General features: G+C 37.9%; 1 annotated feature.

Annotated features, from left to right (window-relative positions):
* Positions 1,980-2,029: an enhancer, noted in NCBI's record as "active region_23582". NCBI's record gives its function as "activates an Ori minimal core promoter by ATAC-STARR-seq in GM12878 lymphoblastoid cells {active_cell/tissue: GM12878}" and the evidence as "EXISTENCE:reporter gene assay evidence [ECO:0000049][PMID:35858748]".

The raw sequence follows: 12,881 nt of genomic DNA on the forward strand, positions 1-12,881 counted from the left end.
AAGTAAAAAAAAGAAGTTCCCAGTTTTTGGATGATGATGTACCAGACACTGGAGATTTACGCTTTTAGTTTTTATTCATGATCCATTTGGAGAGGTCTTCCCTAGCCACCCTGTCCACAGCTGTACCTCTCATCTGAATGTACTTCTTTAATTGGTTTATTTTGTTTCATAACATTTATCCTTACCTCACATAATATTATATTAGTATATTGTTTTTACGCAGTAAAATGTCTACAGTTCTCCTGCTGGAATATAACCTCCATGAGGGCAGACAGGTCTTGTTTCCTGCCTGGAGAATTGTACTAATACCTGGTATATAGCAGGTACTCAAACTTTTTTTTAAGCAAATGAAAACATTTTCTTTAAAAGCAAATAGTATCTCAATATTGCCTCCTGCAGTCCTGTGGCTCTACTGTTTGACCATGGGAGTATATGTTATCTCTCCTTATTTATTATCCCCATTTGAAAAATAAAAGTCTTCCTCTTTGGAGATTGAGTGTCGTGTTTATTTTATGCTTGATGATCCCTTGGTTAAGGATGTATTCATGAGAAATAATCAGTACAAATGACAATATTTATGTTAAGCTCTTTTTTTCTATGAAATTATTCTTTAGAAATTTTGCTGCCTCTAATCTTTCCAATCTGCCATAAGATTATCCGTGAAATTGCTACAAGATTTGCCAGTGGTCTCACGGGATAGGGGCTGCAGCATGAAAATTACACTACAGTATTTTGAAAAAGTACATCAGAATTAATTCATTGTTGTTTTTCTTCTGATCTGTAAGCAGTTTAAATTCATACTGGCCTCTGCTGTGTGTGGGAGAGATCCATAGATAATTTGTGCCTTTAATGACAGAGGTTCTCACAATTCTCTACATGAATGTCATGACAGGGAAGACAAAAATCCCTTTTTGCCACTTAGAAATGCAGGACAAAGCAGCTGACAAATGTCATCTGGAATTTTATGTCATACAAACACATATTCCCTGTGTCAGCAAGGGTACGCCTATATGATTTTAGCCGTTTCCTTCTAATTTCTCTAGAAATAATGGGTTAGTTCACACAAGACAGTGTGGAGATTATTGATATAATCACAAATTGAAATGGGACCCTGAGCTCTCTGTTCACAGAAAAACTCGCCTGGCTTTCTCTGTATTTGAAGTGATTAACGATGGTGCAGCATTGTGGGAAAATGGTATGTCTATAATTATATGAAGCCACAGGAGGGAGAAACCCTTTCTGAACCTGGTCTTTGAAGACACCCAAGTTATTTGAGTCTAAGCCATTAGGGGGAAAAACAGGAAGAAAAAAGCAAGAAAACTATAAAAAAAATCAGAATATGTAGTTGTGACACTGGTCTAGGGAGAGACTGTGTGAGACAGAAACAAAACGGTTGGGGACATGAAAAGGTAACAGACAGCAGGAGATATTGGTTTAGCAGTTAAACAGGAGACTGTGCAAAGCCAGAGCCCTCATCCCGTTAGCTGACTGGCATCTCCCTGTCATCCCTATCACTCCACCCTCCTTTCTAACCTGTAATATGGAGACAATATTTCTCACCATCTTTTGTGGGACACAGTGACACAGACAGACTGCTAAAAATAGAAAAGACGATGTCAATATTATAAATAATGACGTAGAATAGGCTGGTCTTCACTGCAACCTCTCTCTCTCTTTCTGTCTCTCATATTTGTTAACGTACAGGCCTTCTTAAAATGTAGAAAGACTTAGGACTTATGTGCATTTCAGAATCACCTGTAAGGTGCAAGCGGCGTCTGGGACACTGTTTTCTCCCCAGCAGTTTTGGTGCCCTGCTCGAAGGAGATGGACTGTATTCTCCGGCTGCCCAGGGGCAGAGTTGGGGCTGGCCAGAGGATGTGAATACAAACCGGCAGCTTATTTCCATTCCTGACCACTTGGTGACACTCTAGCTTTAGAAACTGCTCAGCTACAACAAAACCCTGGCATACAGCTTCCTTCTAGGTTGGCTTCTGTGGTTTCAAAGACAGTCATTGTTTTGAAGAAGGTCATTTGGAGAGTTCGGTGGCTGATGTGATTAGAATGTGTACAGCGAATCGCATTCCAGGTGCTTTGTGTGCTAACACTTAGGTGTTATTACCAGCATTAATTATCCAAGGGACATGTAACAAACACAGGTGGGCCCTTGTTGGTTCATTTAAAAGGCAAGGCTCTGCAGAATGCAAACCTCCAGGTAGCCACGCTGGCCTTTAATTTGGAGTTTAATTTAGGGGTAGCTGGAGCACACCAGACCTCGTCTATTCATAGATTGGATGTCATAAAAAGAAAATTATTTCAATATTAGTTCCTCTCCAACATATGCTGCACACACACACTTACCCCTAGAGTAAAAACAGTCGGCAAGAACTTGAAAATGTTGTTAAATATACTTCCTTGCATGTGATAGTTTAGGTTTTTTTCCTACCCTCATCCTCTTTACTTGCATAACTTTTTATTCATTAGTAAAAATGACATTTTTCTTCACAGAAAGAACCATCTATCAAATGAGTTAACTACCCCCAGGTTGCAAAACACATCACCCAAAATGACACATCTTCATCTTCATCTTGTTCTCTACCTCCCTTTTTCTTCTGGGACCAAAAGGGATTCGAGGAAGAAATTTGTACACTTTTTTTTTTACAGCATCAAGATGACTTTCTAAAACGGAGGAGATTTCAGTATTTAGCTGAAGGTCCTTGTGTTCTGTTTTAATGGGAGCCTAGGAGGGGGGGTTTGCCCACTTTTAAAGATGCTAGTGAGAGCCGTGCTTTTCTGACTCATTAATTTGGAAAGGCAAGAGGAGGCTGCCATTAAGAAATGTCTTTGCAATTAATTGCATGTAAAACCAAGTTTTTTTCTGACACATTTATAGAAATTGCTTTACCTTATTTATGCTGATATGCTTCTGCTGGCCTTAGCGTGAGTGGAACTGGCCCTAGGCAAAATCGAGATGCTGGCAAAATCTGTTTCTAAGCCGCTTCTGATTTTGTTGCTCACCTTTCCCTTCTCTGAATCCAGAACTTCTTTTTTATTTCCCCTTAAACCGTATTAGTTTTGAGTTCAATTGCCTCTGGCATTCCACTTATGAACGGTGGACTGTCCTTGGGCTTGGGGGTCAGCAAGCTCTGGTAGGACCCTGACTCTGCCATTTTCTTGCTGTGTAAGTTTAGGGAAATGATTTAATTTTCCCATTTTGAATAATCAGTGAAACACGGTAGGTGAAGCTTGGTGTCTGGCTTCAGAAGAGTGGAACACACAAAGTGCTTGTTAAAAATGAAATTTTCTAAATCTTATTGTAGAAAACTGGCTCAGAATTTTAAGGAAAGACTCAGGAATCTGCACTTTTAAAAGTGCTCTAAGAAATTCTCAACACTTACCTAAGTCTGTGAACTCCTGGCTTAAGAAATAAATCTTCCAAGGGGTAACTGTCTTTGTAAAAGGATCAGGAAAAACAGCATCACCGAAAGGAGGGGATGAGTAATGGGGGAGGGGGGTTACTTAGATATCATGGTTTTTTTTTGTAGGGAAGAGATTTGTGGGCAAAACAGGGTGTGATTTGATCAATTTGTGGTCCTGAATCCCATCTAGACAGGAGAAGTTGGGCATTTGATTCAGTATATTGTTTAGGCAAAGTACACAGTACCTCCTTTCTAAAGTGGAGATGCTAAATCCATTGATTTTATTCCTTCGATGTCATTTTTTCCAACTTTTTAAAAGTTGTTTTCTGTATTAGATCATTCCTCCCACCTTTGCTGATTAGTAGAGGCTTTTGCTGGACTGTAAGCTCCACGAGGGTGGATACCGTGATTTTGTGCTCCTTTGGGATTTCAGGTTCTAGCACAGCACAAGCATGTGTGGTAGGTATCTGGTCAATGAATACCTGAGGTGGGTAGAAAAATTTTCTTAACCTCTAACACGTACTGATCAATCTTCCCTTTTCTTCGTTCCGTTCACCTTTGTGTATACTTAAGGCCTGAACAGATTGAGATTCAGTGAGCAATAGAACTGTTTCAGGGGAGGTTGATGCTCTGGATGAAGCTGGGTTGCATGTATTGAAAATCAGGGATGGCTGGATTTATGGAAGGCAGATTTTGAGGGAAATTAATTCAGTATTGGCTTGTGCCTGGCCATCTTTCTAGTTCAGATCATCTAGGAGATTAAAGATCCACTAACCCAATACCAGTCTGATTTGCAGAGCATGTTGACCATTTGGAAAATTGAGCGATGGAGCAAGTTACTCCCTGCCGGGCTTTGATGTTGACCCAGACATTTAGTGCCTAGTGAGAAGATTTTAAGGAGTAACAATAGTGAGGATTGTTTTGAACATGTTTAGTATTTCCCTGAGGCGGTAACAACTATCTAATTCTTCTCAGAATTCAATGTACATAGGGGAAATGCAGATTCCTGGGGGCCCCATTCTAGATCAAACCCATATATTGCAAACCATAGGCCTGGAGGAGAGCAGAAGAGAAGCCCAAGAGATTTAATTGGACTTAGTCTGGAAGAGGCTTTTCATGGGGTCCAGATCATCCCAAGTCTCCCACTCTCTTCCCCTCATCAGGGGCACTAACAGGAGCAATATCTGACATGTGTAATTTATTCACTGCTCTCTACATGGGAAGTTCTGGCATAGGAGTTAGCAGTATACTTGGTCTATATATATTTGACTCCAGGCCTCATCCTTGTCACTGGTTCTTTTTGTGTTTGTTTTTTTTTGAGATGGAGTCTCACTCTGTTGTCCAGCCTGGAGTGCAGTGGTGCGATCTTGGCTCACTGCAACCCTCACCTTCAGGGTTTAAGCCATTCTCCTGCCTCAGCCTCCCAAGTAGCTGGGAATACAGGTGCCCACCACCTCATCTGGCTTTTTTTTTTTTTTTTTTTTTTTTTTGTATTTTTAGTAGAGATGGGGTTTCACCATTTTGGCCAGGCTGGTCTCAAACTCCTGACTTCTGGTGATCCACCCACCTTGGCCTTCCAAAGTGCTGGGAATACAGGCATGAGCCACTGTGCCCAGCCTGGTTCTATAAGCAATAACCACATAACTTTTTGAATCTCATTTGTATCACCTGCAATATGGTTTAAGCAAGCAAACTTCTCTCATGTGCTCTGGCTATCCCTGTGCCCATATTTTAAGTGGGTTACAAGAAGAGTTTTGTGGATTTTTGTTATGGTTGACTTTGAATTCTTAATATTAGATGGGTTAGAAGCCCAATTTCTTATTTTCAATAGTTGAGGGCGGTGATTTTCAAAATGTGGTTCCTGATCTAGTAGTGTCAGAATCCCTGGGACTTGTTAGAAATGAATATTGTGAGCCCACCCCAGACCTACTGATAAAATGTTGGTGCGGAGCACAGCAAGCTGTGTTGTAATAAAACCATCCAGACTGTTCTAATGCTGCTCTCGTTTGAGAATGACTGAACTTTAGGGAATGTTCTTTATTGGAATAAAATTTTAATGAACACCAATTTGGCTGAATGGATAATCCTTCATATAGCAGAATTTAAGGAGAACAGATAAAGGCCAGTCAGGGGCTGTGTATGGTAAGAGGAGAGTAAGACAGTATCTTGGATCAGCTACATCACAGTTACCTTAATTGTTTTGGCTAGGGCTGACCTTATGCTTATATTAGAGAAGTTATTTAAGCTCTGAGTTTTGTGGTTCTCGCTTGTAAATTTGGGGGAATAATAGGAGTCCTACTTCACTTGGCTGCTGTGGGGTTAAATGAGGATGCATCAAAGTGCCTCATGCAGTCTGGTGTGCCAGGTGTTGGGTGAATGGTCCCTTGTGTACCCTCACTGAGTGATGTGTGATTCCACTAGACTACAAGCCCAAGGAGGGGCAAGGCCTGCATCTCTTTTGCTCATTGTTACAGCCTTGGAAGCGAAGACAGTTCCTGACCCAGACATTGTTCAATAAATATTGGTTGTATGAACAAATGAATGAATGAATGAAAAAAGTAAATGGATGAATGACTACACCAGTTTTGTTTGGATATATTGGCTGATACAGTATATGTATGATGAAACGTTTACTTTTTGAGGCAGTTTTAACCCATAATAAAAAATTTAAGGGACATACAAGAACTTCCATATCATTAAGTATAAGGGAATAGGGTTCTTGCACTAAATGGTGAAATTAAATTAATATGGGTATTTCCTGATTCTGTGTAAGTGATTACATGAAAATTTTCAAAATTTCAAGTTGTGAAATACTGCAGAGATCTATCACTGAAAATATTTAGACAGACTGAAATTTAGGGTAGATCAGCTTTGCAAACACATTTTTTCCCCTTTGGTTTCCTTATGAATCATTTGTTTTTGACCCTCAACAAATAAAGGTTGCCAGGAAAAAAGAAAGTCTCCAGTGAATTTCTGCCTTTACTTTAATTCATTCCCTTCCTCCTTTTCTTCTTTGTCTTCATTTTCATAACCATTTTTTTTTCTTATTTGGGTTCCAACTATTTGCCAGTGATGTTAAACACCCTATAGGCTTTACTTTTTTTCTAAATTAATTTTTTACCAACCATATTATAACCACTCCATTTTACAGATGGAAAGACTGTGACTCTGACATATAAGTAATGTAAGCAAAACAGGACTGAAACTTAGGTCTGATTTCCCATCCACCCCATGAGAGCATCTCGTCTCATGCTCTTTTCACTATAGCACCTGGAACAGAGAAACATCTTCATTGCTTTTTGGCTAGATGTGGTTACCTGTTACTCCCATACTTAGGAAGGGTAGATGGGCTTTCCAATTCTTAGAAGACTTGCAGGTGAAAAGGAATGGAGTGAAAGTAGCCAGATCATGTGCCATAGGAGGAGGGAGGATGGCCTTTCTTTTTGTCTAAGAAGTGGATGTTCAAACATCAGAATGGAGAAAACTTAAAAGGGAAAGGCTTTGGCGACCTTGGATTTGGGCCAAGGAACGCTCTCAATCCTCTTTACTGTTTACTCACCACCCCTTGGTTGCACCTATTCCAAGTTCTATGATTTGAACTTACTTTTTTGTGGGCCTTTGACACTGATTGTCTGCGCTCTCTCCTGCTTCCCGTTCATTCATGGAAACTTGAAGCTTCTGTCAATGTATGCCTGACAAGTCTAGGCAGAAGTGATCTCTCCACTGCATTCGTGACTCTGTTTGACATTCATTTGGCACTCAATTACGTATTGCCTTTTGATACCAATAAATTAGCTAAATAAGAACCATTTAATGTTGAATAAGTAGTGTATTGTTTTCAGACACAACTGTATTGTAAAGGTTCCATAAAAATAGACATCGCTTAAAATAATCATATGAATGAAATAACTAATTTTCATTAAAAAACCGGTGTATCAATTTCATCTATTCCTCATATGAATTTGTGTTAACATAGCTGGAAAATGTAGTCCAAAAGGAAAAATAAAAATCAACATAATTCCAGAGTCCAAAGATAACTATTCTTAAATTTTAAATAGATTGAGGACAGAGACTATTTTTTATAAACCTGAAATGTGTAACAAGGTTCTAGTCACGTAAGGAACACTCAGGGTACATTAAAAAATTTTATTTCAATAGTTTTGGGGTGCAGTTGTTTTTTTTGTTACATGGAAGAATTATATAGTGGTGAATTCTGAGATTCTAGTGCACCTATAACTCCAGTAGTGTACATTGTACCTAATGTGTAGTTTTTTTTAAAAATCTCTACCCTCCCCTTTCCTTCACCCTTCTGAGTCTCTAAAGTCCATTTTACCACTCTATGCCTTTGTATCCTCATAGGTTAACTCCAACTTATAGGTGAGAACACATGGTTTTTGGTTTTCCATTCTTGAGTTACTTCACTTAGTATAATAGCCTCCAACTCCATCTAAGTTGCTGCAAAAGACATTATTTTGTTCTCAAGATACATACATTGAATAATCCAGCATGTTCCACAAAACATAGTTGATTAAACATAATTGATTAAGCTTACAAGAGAGCTGAATCATATTTTCTTGACTTGACTGTTGACTTTCGCTCCTTCTTTTCTTTTTACACAGCTGACTGTCCAATATGACTTCTGTCCAATATGACTTCTGCCCAATGATGTCAGAGACTGTTGTTATGTAGAACTTCTACTCATAGGAAAAATCACACTTCCCTTGGCCAACACTTTACTTTTTGTTTTAAGAAACCAGAAAGGCTATGTTCTAATGTTTTCTTAAGTAAAACTTCCAGGCCCTAACAAGTTGCATTTTTAGAAAAATCTTACTCAACTTAACTCCCCGTGGTTCTGTAATGTCATCTATAGAAAAATATCTTGAAATAGCTGTGTCTCTTTGTGTCTGAAAGATTGCTCTTTCCTTGGTCCATGAAGATTTATAATTATGTTGATTTAAAAAAACCCTCCAGCTTTGACCATATTTCCCTCTCCCGTTGAATTCTTGATCTTTTATGATGAAAAGATACATGCTTTTTTCTGGATCCTTCTCTTTCTTTTTTTCTCACCCTTTCATCAAAACGGGATGTTTTGCCAATAGCTTTACTGGTAGTACTATAAAAAGTCATGGCTGAGAGCCTAAGATTTTGGAGTTTCAAGTCCTTACTTCATCACTGTTTAGCACTGTGATCCTGGGCGAGTTACTTAACTGCCTCAGTTTTCACATATGGACAATTGCAACAATAATATTAACTACCTCACAGAAATATTCTGATGTTTATAAAAGACATTATATGATAAGAGGCTTAGCATACTGCCTGATTGGTGCCTCAACATAAGAAGAGCTGTCTTTCCCCCAAAATATCATCCTCCAGAAGATGGGGTGGCTTTTACTACAAAGTTATTATGGAATCTCTCATAAGAGATGTGCTGTACAATAGCACATAAAACCACAGAAACCCTAATGACCTCAGTGAATGCGAGTTTTCCATACCTAAAGCGATCATCTGCCATGATAGGTTTAGAAAAGAAGCCTCCCAAATTAAGAAATAATTAGTAAATGTTCCTGGAGATTTCACATTATGACTTCAAGTATTGCATGTCACTGTGAACAAAATCTTTAAAGAGTCTTTAAAAAGGAAAATTCTGTGTGTTTGGGTTGTGGAGATTAGGTATCTACTTCTATAGGATGAAGAGAAAATGCCTCAATGTAATGCTGATGAGTACTTGAGGCAGGAGGTGATATTGCTACCAGTCGCATCATGCACAATTTCAAACAACTTAGATGGAAGAGAATATAATGAGTGCTAGAAGACTGTTAGACATCTCAAAATATGCATCCAGAGATGATAATGACATGATGATGAAGACGCATGTGAAGAATTCCAAGAAAGTTATTCCAAGTATTGTGAGGATAGTAAGGAGTAATATATCTAAACTATGTCTAAATTAATGTACTTCATACAATATGTGATTTTAAATACACTTGCATATAGAAATGTACAAAAAATAAACCTTAGAGGAAAATATTTAACTTTTTGTCTCTAAGTTGAAGTTAATATACTGAAGTTGGCTAAAAAACATTTCGGGAATCTTCATATTGAGAAAATGGAGGACTCATATTCTGGGCCACCGTCTGTTCTAGCATATATGGTAAAGAGTACTAAAAGATTAGCCCCAATCATAGCAGCAACATTTCAAAAAAGATCAAGTCTCTTTAAAAAGTAATCAGTCTGATATTTTGAACTGGAATATGCATATCTTTTGTCATGGGGATTCCTTTTTTTTAAAAATTCAACATTATCTCATTCTATTGATCTTTGAAGCTATCAAATTATGCTTCCTCGATTACCATTTTTCTCCTATTTCAGCCCACCACCTTTGCACACATTCCCTAACCACACACATATTTTTTCATGCTATAAAAATAAATCACTCTATAACTTTTATGTTGGTATATTTCATGGTAGAGTATTATTCATAACATTCCTGTTTAGTGTATTCTATGTGCCAGTCACTGTTTTAAGAACCTTATGATCATCCTGTTTAATCCTCACAACCACTTTCTCGGATGGACACTACTCTTATCCCATTTGAAACAAGAATAACTGAGGCACAAAGAAGTAAAGCAATTTTCTCTAGGTCACATAGCCTATAAGCAGTACAGCCGGTGTTTGAATTTAGAGTCTGACTTCAAAATCTCAGGCCTTAACCACAATCCTATACCCCTCCACTGGCTAGGCAGTCTTGTTTATGTTTATTTAATAAGAAGACAACTTTTTAATTACAAAAATTGCACATGTTAAATGTTAAAAAGCCATAGTAAAATTGCTAAATTTTTAAAACCTCAAACAATGGTAAAACACAAGTTGAGAATGAAAACCCCTCCTCCACTTACCAATTTTCATAGAGATGACTATTATTAAAAGTTTGTGTTTAGCCAGGGGTGATGGTATACATCTACAGTCCCAGCTACTCAGGAGGCTCAGGAAGATCACTTGAGCTCAGGAGTTTGAAACCAGCCTGGGCAACATAGAGAGATCCTGTCTTAAGTTTAAAAAAGTTTGTTGAATATTATTTCTAATTATGTAGATATAGATATAAAATATATATTAATAACATCACAGTGAACATATTCTGTAACTCATGACTGATTCATTTATATGTCATGCATGTCTTTCCATGAAAGGATGTGTGGTTCTGCCTTAATTTATTGGTTCCATAGTATGGATGTAGCATCATTTCTGTAGTCATTCCACAATTCATGGCCATTTAGATTACATTCATGGGAATATAGGAAACTATATGAAAATGAATATCCTAGACTTTATCATGTCTGTGAATGTCAATTCCATTTTTCTCAAGTTCAGGCTTAATCTTGATATTGCTCTTGATGCCCTCTTTTTCTCTAATACCCACATAAAATCCATCAGCATATTCCACTGATTCTATTTTTAAATATATGCAGACATTGGTCATTTTGGTCATTTCTAATCACCTCTTCTCACTGTCATCCAATCCATTACCCCTCATCTGAACTATTGTCATTACCTTGTAACTTGTTTTTCTACTTGCCAATAGCAGCCAAGAATGATCTTTTTAAAACTCAATCAGATAAAAATCGCTCTACTCAAAGACTCTCCATCTAAGTCACTAACAGTCAAAGTGTATGCCATGGTCTTTAAGACCCTCCCTGAGCCAGCATCCTACTACTTTTCCCAACCTTGACTTCTACCGCATTCCCGTGTATTCACATTACACCAGCCACATTAAAATATCTGCTATTTCTTAAATATCATAAGCACAATTTCTCCTTAAGATCTTTGCATTTGTTGTTCCCACTGCCTACAATCCTTTGAACCATTCTTCCCCCATATTTGCTTGACTGACTTCTTCATTTCTCTTTTAGGTCTCTGTTCAAATGCTATCACATCTTATTTGTTGAATGAGTGTTGAGTGAATGAAATATTTACGCAATTGAATAAATATTTCTGGAGAATAAGTTTCTAAAAGTGAAACTGCTTACTTGTTTTTCTTTTCAAACCCTTCGTTATTCCAGTCCTCCATCTTATATCCTTGCCTATTTTATTTTAGTATTCTCATGCCCCTCTTCAAAATGCTTCTGTGTTCCTGTCTGCTGTTTCTACTGTGGAAGGCTGGCTGGCTCTTTGTCTCTCCTGGGAGCTCTGGAAGAGAAGGAGACACTAGGCAGCTGGTCTGAGTCTCGTGGGCCACTTTGCAAGGCTGTGATTTCAAGAGTGACCTTGGGGTGTGACTGAGTTGTCATTAAACAATTTAATAGATGAAATAATCCCCTCTTCGTACTTCAGCCACACTTATTTCTTTCCAAATATCTGGCACCATGTTGTAAACACTCAACACTGTAAAGAAAAGATGTTTTTTTAAAAAAATCTGTCTTATCATATTGGTTTAAAATAAAGAGGATGTATATTGAAATTAGAACAAATCAGAGAAATCCTGGGGTTTTAGTCATGAAATAAAACTTTTGTCCATATGTATCTTTAAAATATTGTGGCATTTTTGTTCACCCTTACCACATTCCATTTGAGAAAATCATATGATTACTGTTAATGACAAAGCAATTTATGATTTCCTGGATAACTAGGATAAGAATGAGTAATTAGGATAAAAAAAGATGGAATTTTTGAGCTAGGAGAACTCATTTGTTTATTCCCCTAATTTTCTACAAAAAAGGAAACAGATTACTGTAGAGGTTGGGTGACTCGTTCAAGGTCACACAGCTAGTTAATGGTACAGGTCGGTCCTCTGACTCCAAAAATAGTGCTCAGTAGCATCCATGGAACAGTGTCTGTGAACCAAATCTTTTGCTAAGTGAAGTTCTACCTGATAGATAATTCCTGTTCCTTCCAATTGTCCTGATACCCTGCAGTTTAGTTAGATTACGTGATTTGGCCTCATATTTCTTCTGGAGCTAGCTGGATAAGGATCACCCTATTAGGGGGCTTAATTTTGTGCTAATGATCCTTCTTTCTGTCTGAAGTCTTCAGGTTACAGTTTTTTCAAAGAAACTCTGTGCTGCTTGTCCTTTTTTGCTTGCTGCATGACGTGCACATCAGTGCCTCCTGCAGCCTTCCACTTGTTAATTGTCTCTCCTTCCTAATGAAGCCTGTATCAGCTCCAGTGCTAATTGAACTTCGTCCTTCATTCAGACTGTGTTATTAAACAAATAGTCACAGTGTTTGGTCTCACTTTAATAGGAGCATTGATGTTTGCTTAACATCAAAAACTTATTAGTAATCCATTGAAAAGGCAATTAATGGAGGACATGTAGGTAAGGAAATTGAACTAGTCTGCACCACAGGACAAAGAATGGCAAAGACGTTCTGGTTTTCTAAGGTTTAACTGTCTGTATCCTGGTAGTTGCAAATTGATTGTTAGATTCTTGACTCTTACCCAAATCAATGAATTTATCATTTATGTAAAGT

This window comes from Homo sapiens, chromosome 5 (genome assembly GCF_000001405.40).
Source record: "Homo sapiens chromosome 5, GRCh38.p14 Primary Assembly".
Lineage (NCBI taxonomy): Eukaryota > Metazoa > Chordata > Mammalia > Primates > Hominidae > Homo > Homo sapiens.